This window comes from Homo sapiens, chromosome 1 (assembly GCF_000001405.40).
Source record: "Homo sapiens chromosome 1, GRCh38.p14 Primary Assembly".
NCBI classification, from domain to species: domain Eukaryota; kingdom Metazoa; phylum Chordata; class Mammalia; order Primates; family Hominidae; genus Homo; species Homo sapiens.
Genome location: NC_000001.11, coordinates 219,873,507 through 219,885,966, shown reverse-complemented (window position 1 = coordinate 219,885,966; position 12,460 = coordinate 219,873,507). Strand labels below are relative to the sequence as shown.

Here is a 12,460-nt window from a genome sequence, read left to right as displayed (position 1 = left end):
CCAAAGGTTTGTCAACTTTATTGATGTTTTTTCAAAAAAGTGTTGCCGATTTTTAAAAGTTTTCTATTTTATTTATACTCTAATCTTTATTTTTCCCTTTCTTCTGCTGAAATTGGGCTTAGTCTGTTCTCCTAGTTCTTTGAGGTTGGTTTGTTAATTTGAGACTTTTCTTCTTTGTTAACATAGGGGTTTATTGCCATAAACTTTGCTCTTGGTAATGCGTTTCTTGCTGCCTCCTGTAAGTTTTGGTACATTTTATTTTCATGTCTATTTGTTTCAAGGTGTTTTCTAATTTCCCTTTCATTTCTCTTTTGACCCATTGGTTATTCAAGAATGTGTTGCTTAATTTCCACATATCTATGGAGTTTCTAGCTTCCCTTTTCTGTTGTTTCTAGTTTCATTCATTGTGGTTGAAGAAGATACTTGGTATGATTGCAGTGTTCTTAAATTTGTTCTACATGTGTCTGTTAGGTCCATTTTTATCTATAATGCTCTTCAAATTTGCTGTTTCCTTATTGTTTTTCTGTCTGGATGCTCTATCCATTATTGAAGGTGGGGTGTTTAAGTTTCCTATTATTATTACATTTGTGTCTATTTCTCTTTCAGTTCTGTCAATGTTTGCTTTATATATTTAGGTGCTGTGATGTTGGGGATGGATATATTTATAATTGTCATATCTTCCTGGGTGAATTGACCCTTTTATTATGAAATAATGTCTTTCTATATCTCTTGTGATAGTTTTTGACATTATATAATAATAAATGTCAACTGAGCAGGAAGACATGACAATTATAAATTATAGTTTATGAAATATCTGTTGCTTGAGTTTGGTTAGATTCATTTGTAAAATTGTCTAGGCCTTATACCCTTTTGGTGTGGGATAGGAGCAGATTTTTGAATGACTTTTTAGTTTCCCTAATGGCTATTGGTATGTTCAGGTTTTCTATTTCTTTTTATTTTTGCGTCAATTATGGTAATTTATATTTTTTAGGCATTTGTATGTTTCATTTTCCAAATTTATTTTAGTAAACTTGTTCACAGTGTACTCCTATTTTAAAATCTCTACTGATGTATAGTTACCAGCCCCTTTGTTCTCATATTGCTTATTTTGTCTTCTCTTTTCCCCTGTTGTGATTTAGTGCAGATTATTTTATGAGACTTTTCAAGGAATAAACTTCTATTTTTATTGTTTGACTCTTTTTTGTTGTTTATTTAATAGTTCTGTTTTGTTCATGTTAAGGTTTGTATGCCCACTTGACATCCAAGTGGAGATTTTAAGTAGGCAGTTGGATATCCAAGTCTGGAGCTTACAGAAGAGGTCAGAGATGATGACATAAATTATGAGAATGATCAGCATAGAAATATTATTAAAAACTATTGGGCTAGATGACATCACCCAGGAAATAATGTGGATCAGCGCTTCTCAAAACTGTCTGTGGGGAAGGACCAGTTTTATTTTTCTAATCCAATCTGATGCAAACCAATACTTTGTAAAATACAATTGTATAAATCATTATAAAAATGAAATATAAACTATTTAAAAAAGGTATTCAAATTCAAGCCTAATTTTTTATTCTTAGATACAACAACAGAAACATATACTGTCAAATTGCGATTAGAACTTTCTAAAGGCTTAGTCAGTTTCTGTATTTCTGTCATTGCAGTCTGGTAACAAATAGTTAATGGACTGACACTGGTATGCAGACCAAGGCTTTGAGTGGCACTGCGTGCATGGAAAAGAGAAGAGAATCAAGGACGGAGCCCTGGGGCACTCTGACCTTTGGAGATCTGGCAGCTGGGGGAGGAGCCAACAAAAAAGCTGGAGGAAGAGCAGCCATGAGGTAGGAGGAGAACCAGGCAAGTTTACAGTCAGGGAGGGCTGGAGAGGATAGTGTTTCTAGGAGGAGACAGTGGTCAGACCTTTCGAATGCTACTGAGTGGGTTGGGTTGGGTAATACAAGGACAAAGCATTGATCATTGGCTTTGTCAATATTTGACCAATATTTGGGATGAAAGTCCCTTTAAAGTAACTTGGAGAGAAGATGAGAAGGGAGAAAGTAGAGCCAAGTACAGACAGCTTTTTCTAAAAGTTTTACTCTGGTGGAGATCAGAAAAATAGGGCCACGATTGGAAGGAGATATGGTGTCAAGAGAAGGCATTTTGTTTAAAAAACACAAGGGATAAATATTGTATGATTCCATTTATATGAGGTCCTTAGAATGGTCAAATTCATAGAGACAGAAAGTAGCATGGTGGTTGTTGGGGGCTGGGAAAAGAGGGAATGAAGAGCTAATTTTTAAAGGGCCTTCAGTTTTGGTTTGGGAAGATGAAAAGTGAAATGGATGGTGGTGATGATTGTGCAACAATGTGAATGTGCTTAATGCCACAGAATTGTACATCTAAAAATGGTTAAAGGGTTAAAATGGTAATATCGTAAATTTTATGTTACTACACTTTACTACAATAAAAGACATATTATGTATGAAATATTAAGTGATACTTTTATGTGGATGGAAATAATTCAGTAGAAAAGAAACTGATGGTGCAGGTGACCCCAATTCAGAAGCAGTTTTACTTCAGTGGCTTTCATGTTGGGAAATTACAGTCTGAGTCCCAGTCCATGAGCAGGGTCTGGTGGTGGGTGCGTCTTCACCTGTTTTCCAAAAAAGCAACTTGTTTCTCGTGGTAACTCCAGCCTTCATTCTTGTGTGTGCAAACCAAGCCGGTGGCTTTATGTAAAAAACCTGGTTTGGGCTAGTTCCTTTTTCCCTGAGGAAGTTGAAATTCCACTACCCATTGTCTGCTGTGTCTATTGAAGTAAGGCTTGAGTCTTTGCAGACTTATTATGCAGAGCTCAAGGTAATAAAAGGTAATAATTAATATTAATTGAGTACTGACTGTATACCAGGTACTTTATGCTTACCCCCCATAAGCTTCGCAAGAGCCCTATGAAGTAGGTGTTATTATTAGTATGACCAGTTTACAGATGTGGAAACTGAGGCACATTGATGTTAAGTAATTTGCCCATCGTCACACATTCAGAACATAGGAAGTGACAGCTTTGGGATTTGAACTAAGGCAGCCTTACTTCAGAACTCCAGTTTACATAGAGGGTAGATACAGAAATATGAATTCATCACCCAGTACATAATAATTTGGGCATGCTAATCCAGAAATTTCTCCATCATAACGTCAGCACCATGTTTACATTGTGGGCAGTGGATTTTGTTTTAGCAAAATATGATTTATCACATTAAAGTAATGTCATTCGCTTAATTTTTTGTTGGCATTACATTTTAAAATGTGTTTCTTTTTAGAGCTATAAATGATCTAAAATATATAACCTAATTTTATGTTTTTGCATATTTGCTTAATATTATAATAAAATATTATTTTAATCAACAATGGAAGTCTTAAAAAAATTTTGTCCTTAGAGTTTAAGTAAAAAAAACCATAATGGTATAGTTTTTTTAAGAAAAAAAATTTTTCTGGAAGAAAGAGGATCTTTGTTTTTTTTCTTAGCTCCCTGAGAATTAACCAGACTTCTGTTTGTAGAGAGGAATTAGTGTATGACTTAACAGGACTGTTCTCATTTGACCTAAAAAGACTGTATTTGAGGGACTTTCTGAGACCTGTTCAAAGGCTTCAGCTGCCTGGGTAACTGAGCAATGTAGAAGCAGAATTCCAGTTTTGAATTGCTTCCCAAGGCAGGCTTTATTTAGTTCTGGGAGAGAGGGAATGCACTGTGATTCTTAAAGAAACTCGGTGTGATTTTGCATTGCGATAACAGATTTGCAAGACATCCAGCACTTTTCCATGGGCATTTTCTTAGAGGAAAAAAAAAAAAAAACAGTAGATTGCGATGATCTGTTCTGTTTCCCGAAGGTTGCAGAAGATGTTAAAAACCGGAGCACCTAGATGACAGACTGTGAAGTTGACCAGGGATCTTTGTATTGCCCCATTATTTATCCATTCCTATTCCTAACCGACTTAGTCCAAGCGTGTGCCTTACTTTTTGGTGCGGGGGTCAGGAGTCATAGCTGTTACTATAGGCCTATAAGAACTTTGTAAGGGTAGAATACAAAATGAACATCATTTTCATAGGCTTTTAGGTTGACTCCTTGGTGACAATGAAAAGGTTTAATCTGAGCTCACAAAATTGCTCCTAGACACTATTATAAAGTTTTACCACTCTTATAAGTTCTGCTTTGAATTCCAGTTTGCCCTGTGAAATAATGGGAAATCATTAAATATGTCCTGAATGAATTAACAAATGATACTTTCATTCCTGTCTGATACTTTCCAATATTATTTTGGAATATTATTTGACAGGGGAGTATATACTTTTCTATTTTGACCCTTTACTGTCAGATATTTCATGCCTTGAAAAACCCTAATTCCGAGCTGGAATTCTTCATGGCATGTGAATAAGATAACAGAAAAAAAAATTACATGTCTTAACAGTAACCACATTTGTTAATAAGATGTCTGGGTTAAGCACTTTTATTTTTTTATCATAAATCATGGTCATCTTATCTCCAACCCAGTTGCTAAAAGCAAAAGCACAAGTGAGTTGTTCCTTGCTGGTTTTTCACAGTAAGACTTAAACAGTTAATCAGTTGCAAAGGGAAGAGGAAAATCTGAAAGAAAAGTTGGAGCTCCTAGTTATTGCCTTTTGCTGTGATAAGGTATTAAAGACTAGTGATAACAAAGGCAGAGTGATGATACCCAACATCTGCAAGATTGGGATAATAAAACTGCTACTCTGATAAGATTAAGTGCAAATTCACAAAAAGCATGTAATTTTTTAAAAACCAGTAAACACATATAGAGTGCTTAGTACATTCCAGACATTCCCTGTCTTAAGGTGTTCTCACAGTTTAAACTCATTTAATTCCTACAGTGATTCAATGAGGCAGGTCATTGAATGATGAGGTCATCATCATTTATTCCTCTTTGATAGATGAGGACAACTGAACCATAGGGAAATGAATGTGCCTGAATTCATCAGCTAGTAAGTGACAGAGCCAGGACTTGAACCTAGGTGGTCTTGCTCCAGAGCTCACACTCTTGACTATGAGGCTAACACTGCTTCTCAAAAGATGGCAGCAAATGTATGAAATGTTGATTATCCTCAAATATCATTGATGACCTAGCTCTCACAATCTATGCTTTGAAAAAAAATTGAAACACTTTTATTGTGATAAAGTCTTTCTTATTATCCTTAATCCCAAGGGGTTAGAAAGGATTCAGGCAATAATGCCAGTAAATTACCTTTAACTTTCTGTTTGGAATTTACCATTTAAATGTGGAGAGACAATCATTATCTATACATTTTAGCAGCTACTATTCACTGTAAGTGCACACAGAAAAGCTCACATAATAAGTCAGATAAAAAACTGGCATCAGACAGAGAGAAAAGCAAAATAACTTAAAAGGGACCTAGAGTTTGTGCATGCACTTTTTGCTACATTATTGATTAGGTCATTGTTTCATTCACGTTTTCTTCTGTTAAAGATCAGCTACAGCAATAGCTATAAAGAATTTCGGACATTAAGGTAATAATTTTTATGGTACTTTTATTCTAGAAAGACTACAAAAAGTTTCCAAGAGATAGACTGAAATCTTGAGTATTAAGGTCTCTTCACGTTTCAGAATATAGAAAATTTCCATTCATCTTTAACTAGTCCCTGAACAAATATAATTTTGTTTGGGACACATAATTTAATTCACAGAAAAAACAATGTGAAGATGTAGATGCCATTAAAAAATCACCCAAATAATAAACATTGTAAATAAGGCAGGTATTTCATTATATTAGAGAAAAAATGAATTCATTTTATATGGTTATTAGTTTCACAGTAACAGCGTTGAGATAAATGTAATTCTATGTAGATATTTACTTTCGATTTGCAAGATGGCTGAGAACATCAACCAAACATTTTGCTGCAGTGGCTAAAAGAAAATAAATCATTGATAGTGGTTATTGCTTGTAGGAGTATTTGTTAGGCAAATAAACTTTTAATTACAAATTTTTTACCGATATCATAATCTCATTACATTTCTTAAAACTTTTAGATTAGTCATGGTTGCCTGGCACTCTTTAAAGGAGGCAATTTTCAATTTGTAGTTAATAAATAGGAGACTCACTAATCAATTTCAAACTTGAAATATACTTAAAAGAAAACATTTGATTGCCAAACTTTCAATGTACTTTTTCAGTGATTTAACTTTTCTCTTGTAGAACCAATAACATATTTGGTATAATAATAAGAATGTTACAAATTAAATACTTAACTTGAGCACATTTATTTACTTTCATAGTATCAATTTTGTGTCCTGTAACATAACTTACACATCAAATTAACATGAAAGTGACATGGAATTTGTGTGCTCAATATTTTTTTCTAAATGTATAAAATGAATTAGAAACAAATTAAAGAATATAAAATTCAATGTCTTCTTCTTAAACACCTTGTTTATTTCCTTAGGAATCTAGTATTTCTCATGAGAAATATCATATCATCTGGAATAGGTTAGCGTGACATTAAAAGCTAAAAATATGTAATCCTCAGAACAATTTTCTCTCAGTTCAGGAATGGTCAGTTGTAATAGCCTTGTCAACGTCTCTCCATTTACACTTTTCAGGATAATTTTCTATGTATTCTGTTTATTCCTGAAGTCCTGAGTTTTTTGCATCCTACAAAGTTGGATAGTCCTTTAAAATTTTTTGAACACATTCTGCATTTTCTCATTTAATGCCCTTAAGTTGAATAATGGAGCTATACTTAGTTTTGTTTTGAAAATGTCCTAGTTAGAGCGAAATGTCTTTACAATGACTATGACTGAATGGCTCAACATTTTAAACTGTGAACAACTTATCAGCTTACCTAATTAGTTGTATTGCAATTCAATATTTATATTTCCTTAATATTTTTCCCTTTAGTTGTCTTCCAAAAATCTGAAGTTATTTGATAATTTTATACATAAATAAAATAATCTTTCTGATTTCTGTTTAGATTGTAACAGTTATAAAAACATATAACACAATACATTAGTGTATTAATGTATTCAGTCACAAGGAGTTAATTTTTCAACTCTTGCAGGAAAAAAATGAAGAATTTTTAATATCAAATGCTAACTTTTCAAATTCTAGCCTTTAGTAAATAGAATATTTCTGTTTTTATAAGTGGCACAAGAACTTTGCAAATTCTCAAGATGCAGAGAAACATTTCTGGAAAAGATTGATTTGGAAGGTATTTTTGAAGAGCCTACTCCTTAATTAAGTGCCAACATAGTGACTACAGAACTCTGAAATTTGGTCTAGAATTACGTCCCATGTGAGCTAATGTCATGCTTTCTATTTTACAGGTTTGTCAAAGGATTAATCTAAGCACAACTAGCATTTCCAAGGTTGAATTTAAAAGGAGTAGGCTATTTTACACATATCTAAGTGTGGAGCTTGAATTTGTCTGAGCAGTCATTCATGTTTTTTAATGTGTAGTGTAAGAACAAAGAAAGGAAACATTTGAATGAACAACTGATTAGCCATTATCTTAGTAATTTTTTGATATGGAAAATTTTAGTATATGGCAATATGAAACCAGCTAAGTTGTTAGCATAAAGAAAGCATAAGAGGTGATCTAAAAATCAACATAAAAATTGTCCAAGTTCTTCTCAAATTTTCAATTTAATGGTGCTTATCCCCCCTCCATTAAATAATTTCTAGGAAATTCTTTTCCTAGCGTTTCGACAGCCTATAATTTTTTAAAGAGTTTGCCTATTAGTGTATTACATTTATTGATATTTGTTAAGCACCTTAATTTCATCTTCATCAACCTGAAACATCCTCTGCATTTCACATAATCTCTACTGTAAGAAAAGTGTATATTATATACACATACATGTTGCCTCTATTTCCTTAAGGACGCCAAAGTCAAAACATGGATGTGTAAATTAATTTCTCTCAACATAGGTAGGGACACTCATCAATCCTTTTATCTCTTGAATTTGTTTTCATATTCCGTTCTGCATTATTTTATGTTTTTATATGAAGTCTTATGTCATAGGCAAATCATATTGTGTCTAAAAGTTTAGTTTTGTAGGATTGTAAATGATCAGTATGAGCTCTTCCTTCCTTGATATACAGTCATGGATTGCATTCCTACTGGCATGACCTGACCTTGTTCATTTCACTTTGGGGATAGTCTATGAATTTTCCAGAGTTGAATTAAACATTTATCTCTCTCCTAGGAAAATAACTTTGTTTCCATTTAAGCATCAAAGCTTAAAATTAGCCTTTAGTTTCAGAAGATCTGTATTTAATATGTTCTTTGCAAATTTTTTTGTAGGATCAGGAAAAATAAAAACAGAAAAGGTTAAGAAATGAACACCACGTTCATTCATCTTTAGACACTTTGAAACGAGAAAAATCTCCAATCAAGAGATTATTTGATATTTTTAACACATAAACTTGTACTGAATTTAATTTAATAATAAACAATTTTTTTGTTTGTTTGTTTGAGAGAGAGAGAATATGTATTTAGATATAGAAGGGGAAATCTCATTGGAGCAACAGAACTGTTTTTTACAAAAAATTTTTGAACAAAATTTATTACAAAATAAATTCTTATTTGTTGTGTAATTTTTGGCATTGGTGGTCTGAGTCACTCCTTACAATTACTTTAAAAAGTAATCTATTGGATGTTTAAGATAAGCATCTTTATAATTTTAAGGGACTGTAGATTCAGATAAAATACTATAACTCATCCTATAAATTATGAAGTTGTTTGAAGTGATGGCCATGGCAAAAATAACTGGTAGCCTTATCATCATCATCATCATTTTTCTTTATGACTGCATAGTACTCACCTTGTAGCACTATGAAAGTTTTTATAGGTCCTCTTGAATTGGAGGCATTTTTTACAAATCCTCCATAGTTAGATAAATACACAGCAGCTGTAAAACCTATAAGGGCTGAATATATCTGCCGAGAAAAATTCTACGCTTTTTTCCTTGGGGCTGCAACAGAGTCTAATGAATTTTGGAAGTTAAAAAAGCAGAAAGTCATTCTAAGCCTTATCTGTGGCCTGGAAGCGCCCCCGTATGTCCAGGATCTAGAATGTACAGCAAATGAAATCTTGTTTGAGTATGAAACCAGCAACGGTGGCTTTAGTCTTGGACAAATCAGCAACAGAAAGGGCTTTAACTTGCTGCTGCCCCATTTGTTGTACCCCAAAGACAGAGAACCAGTAATCCTTGTTTTCTTTCCAGCCCCCTCAAAATCTGTTTTCTGGAAGGCAGTTGGTAGGCTAATAAACATTAGCCTATAATGTTATGACGTATTATATTATATTATATATAATTTGCTGAGATTTAATACGCTGCTTCCTCTCAGAAATTTGCATGTTCATTATAGACAATGATGTAAAAAGAGGGGCTTCTGAAGTGTGAAATTTCTGGGATCACTAGGTCGGTCCAGAAGGGCCAGGGTTAGGTGAGGAGAGAGGCTGAATCATGCAAGTGCAGGCTCTAATTCAGTTTTTATTAAAATTTTTGATATTTCCCTCATCATGATTTCTCTGTGTTAATTTTTTACTTTTGAAAAGATTGCATCAAAATGTTATTTATCTTAATTACTAAGTTTTTGGACACCTCCTTAAATTCTGCACGCTACCCTCCTACCCCCAAGTTCAGTGCCTTACTTGCTTCACCCTAGTCCTTGCCCATTCTGGAGGAAGTGATCTTTTCTTGGAGTGGTGGAAGGGAGGTATCCACCATTCCCAGTATTCTAGATATCACACTGCAAAGTTGCCACCCAGTCCACCTTCCCAGCTGAACTTGGTGACCACCAATAAATAGTTTCACCATGTCTATCACAAGTACGCTGTGCAGGGCAACTGAACTGGAAACTTGCCACCAGTCCAGTGATGTTGGGAAGGTTTAATGGGTTCATGTAACGAGGGAGGAGGAGGTCCATGGGTTCAAAGATCATAAAATAATAAAGTCATATAATATTTTTGAATTACTCTAATAAAAAATAAAAGACCTGCCGTATTGCAATGATATCTGTAGCCCTGGAATGATATCTCATTTTGCATAGCTAAATGTGCAGTAGTCATTATTTTTAACATTTCAATTCGCTGGCTTTTTCTGGTAGGATGAAATAGATGTAACCAGGTTGGAGATGATATGTCCTAAAAAGCATAGGGTTTAATATTGACTTCCCGGAGAGACAAATGAGGGCTTCTGGTGCGTGCCTCAGTTGCCTTGGGTGAGAGCTGAAGGCTCAGTACTCCCAAGCCTGGAGTGTGATGAGGTTTCAGCCTTCAAAGGTCAACATCTGAGGCTGCTGAAATGCAGTATTTGGAGTGCTTTTGAGGCTTATGACAGGGAAGAAGAATAGTTGTGTTCAGCAACCCTGAGGATTCATAGGCAGTGCTGTTTTGAGTTGAACTTATAATGTGTTTTGATGGAGTTTGTTTTCCTTCTGTAGATCAGTTTCCTGGTTTTAACAAAATAGGAAACCTAAATAGGGAAGCTCTTAATTGCAGCTGGGCAAGAAGACAGGACTACAGAGAGGATAATCTGGATAAATACCAAAAGTTTAAATTCACTTATAACTTTGCTTTTATATATGAAAATAGATCCTCATCTAAAGTAGGCTTTTCATTTCATTTCAGTATGACTGAGACATCTTCATCATTGTGTTTATGAGGCATTAAAATCTTGAGGGGGAGGTGCCTAATAAATTCATTTAAGAGCTGCCTAGAACTCATTGTGGAAGAAACCTGGCTACAAATAATTAGCCAGTCTCATAGTTGATTCATGCTTGATTAACAATGGTGATGGCAGCCGTACATACTCTTTATTTTTCTACTTCCACAAAAGTCAGAGAAAAGGAATAAACTCACCCTATATTAGGAGATAACTTTCTGTCATGTTTATAAAAAGCATTAGGATATATTAGAAATTAGACTATGATAAATGTTGCTTTTCTTGATATCTTTTTCATGGGAAATATTATGTTTGTGTGTTTAAAGATTTTCCCCTCGATACATAGGGTTTTAAAACGGATTTCATTAATGACTTTCTAACCTTGAGTATGCTGAAATTGGATAGAAATTCAGCTAAAACCCTTGCATTTTATTTAATAAGACCTTCAAATTCATATTTTAAAATTAAGAAAATTATTTGTTTTAAAACATATTAGCTGCCAGACAAACACATAAATAACAGTAACTGGCATAATTGGAGTGTCTTCTTTTAAATGTATCATTTAAGCAGCATTATTAGGCAACACTTCTGTCTAGGAAGAGCAAAGTCAAAACTCCTAGAGTTAATATGTGTAATGAAGAAACGTTCATTAACCTTGTAATATCTTGCAAGTGTCCAGAAGGTTGCAAAAGTGTTTATACAGAAACCCCCCATTTGTCTTTTTATTTTTCTATATTTAAACTTTCCATTATTCAACACCGATTTGTTTTTTGTTTTCAAGATGGAGTCTTGCTTTGTCTTTCAGGTTGCAGTGCAGTGGTGTGACCTCGGCTCATTGCAACTTCCGCATCCCAGGTTCAAGTGATTCTCCTACCTCAGCCTCCCAAGTAGCTGGAATTACAGGTGCATGCCAACATGCCTGGCTAATTTTTGTATTTTTAGTAGAAACAGGGTTTCAACATGTTGCCCAGGCTGGTCTTGAACTCCTGTTCTCAAGTGATCTGCCCTCCTTGGCCTTCCAAAGTGCTGGGATTACAGGCGTGAGATACCGAGCCCAGCCATGATGTTTAAGATGAATAGACAACATTTAAAAATGAAATTTTATCTTTCTCAATATATTTAAGTACTAATATCGAAATTACAATACTTCTTTTTATGACACTTTCCTTTTTGGGGCTTATCTTCCATTAGGTAGGTTCATGTGATCTAGCCTTGGAAACTAGCCACCATTTTTAACACCACTACTATGGGAAGATGAAGCAAACTTTTGGTACATAACATTTGCATTAGGAATGACTATTTGTTATAAAGAATCATGAACCCCAGGATAGTCAGGTTTTCTCACTGAAGTATCAAAATGAGCTCAGTTTAAGGCCATTTTCCCCATGAGATGGTACCATGGTTGGTCGGACCTAGATGACGTGGCTTGAGTGTATTAAATTCTGTTTCATTAACCATCAAAATACAGCAGAGCAATTGATAGATAAAACAGTTTTAAAATAGCTCAGAGAAACAGGGGAGTAGGGCAATAATCAGAATTTTAAAAGTCAACATTACCAATGAGATTAACTTTAATCATGTTAGGCTAGATGTCCAATTGATTTATAAAATGCAATGACTCACTTAAGGTGTTAATTCAGTATGTCAAATGGATTAAGCTGGCCTGAGATCCTGGGAGTCATAAAGGAAACTATGTTGTTGTTTTTTTTTTAATTTTTATTTTATTACTATTATACTTTAAGTT

General features: G+C 34.2%; 1 long non-coding RNA gene across 2 annotated transcripts in view; it reads left to right on the top strand.

Moving 5' to 3' along the window:
• The first annotated feature begins 1,668 nt into the window (after positions 1-1,668).
• Positions 1,669-12,460, top strand: part of LOC105372926 (uncharacterized) — a 198,874-nt gene continuing 188,082 nt past the window's right edge. For both annotated transcript variants that reach the window (XR_001738475.1, XR_001738474.1), the window contains exon 1: positions 1,669-1,841. This is a non-coding gene — a long non-coding RNA (uncharacterized LOC105372926). The remainder of the gene's footprint in view (positions 1,842-12,460) is intronic.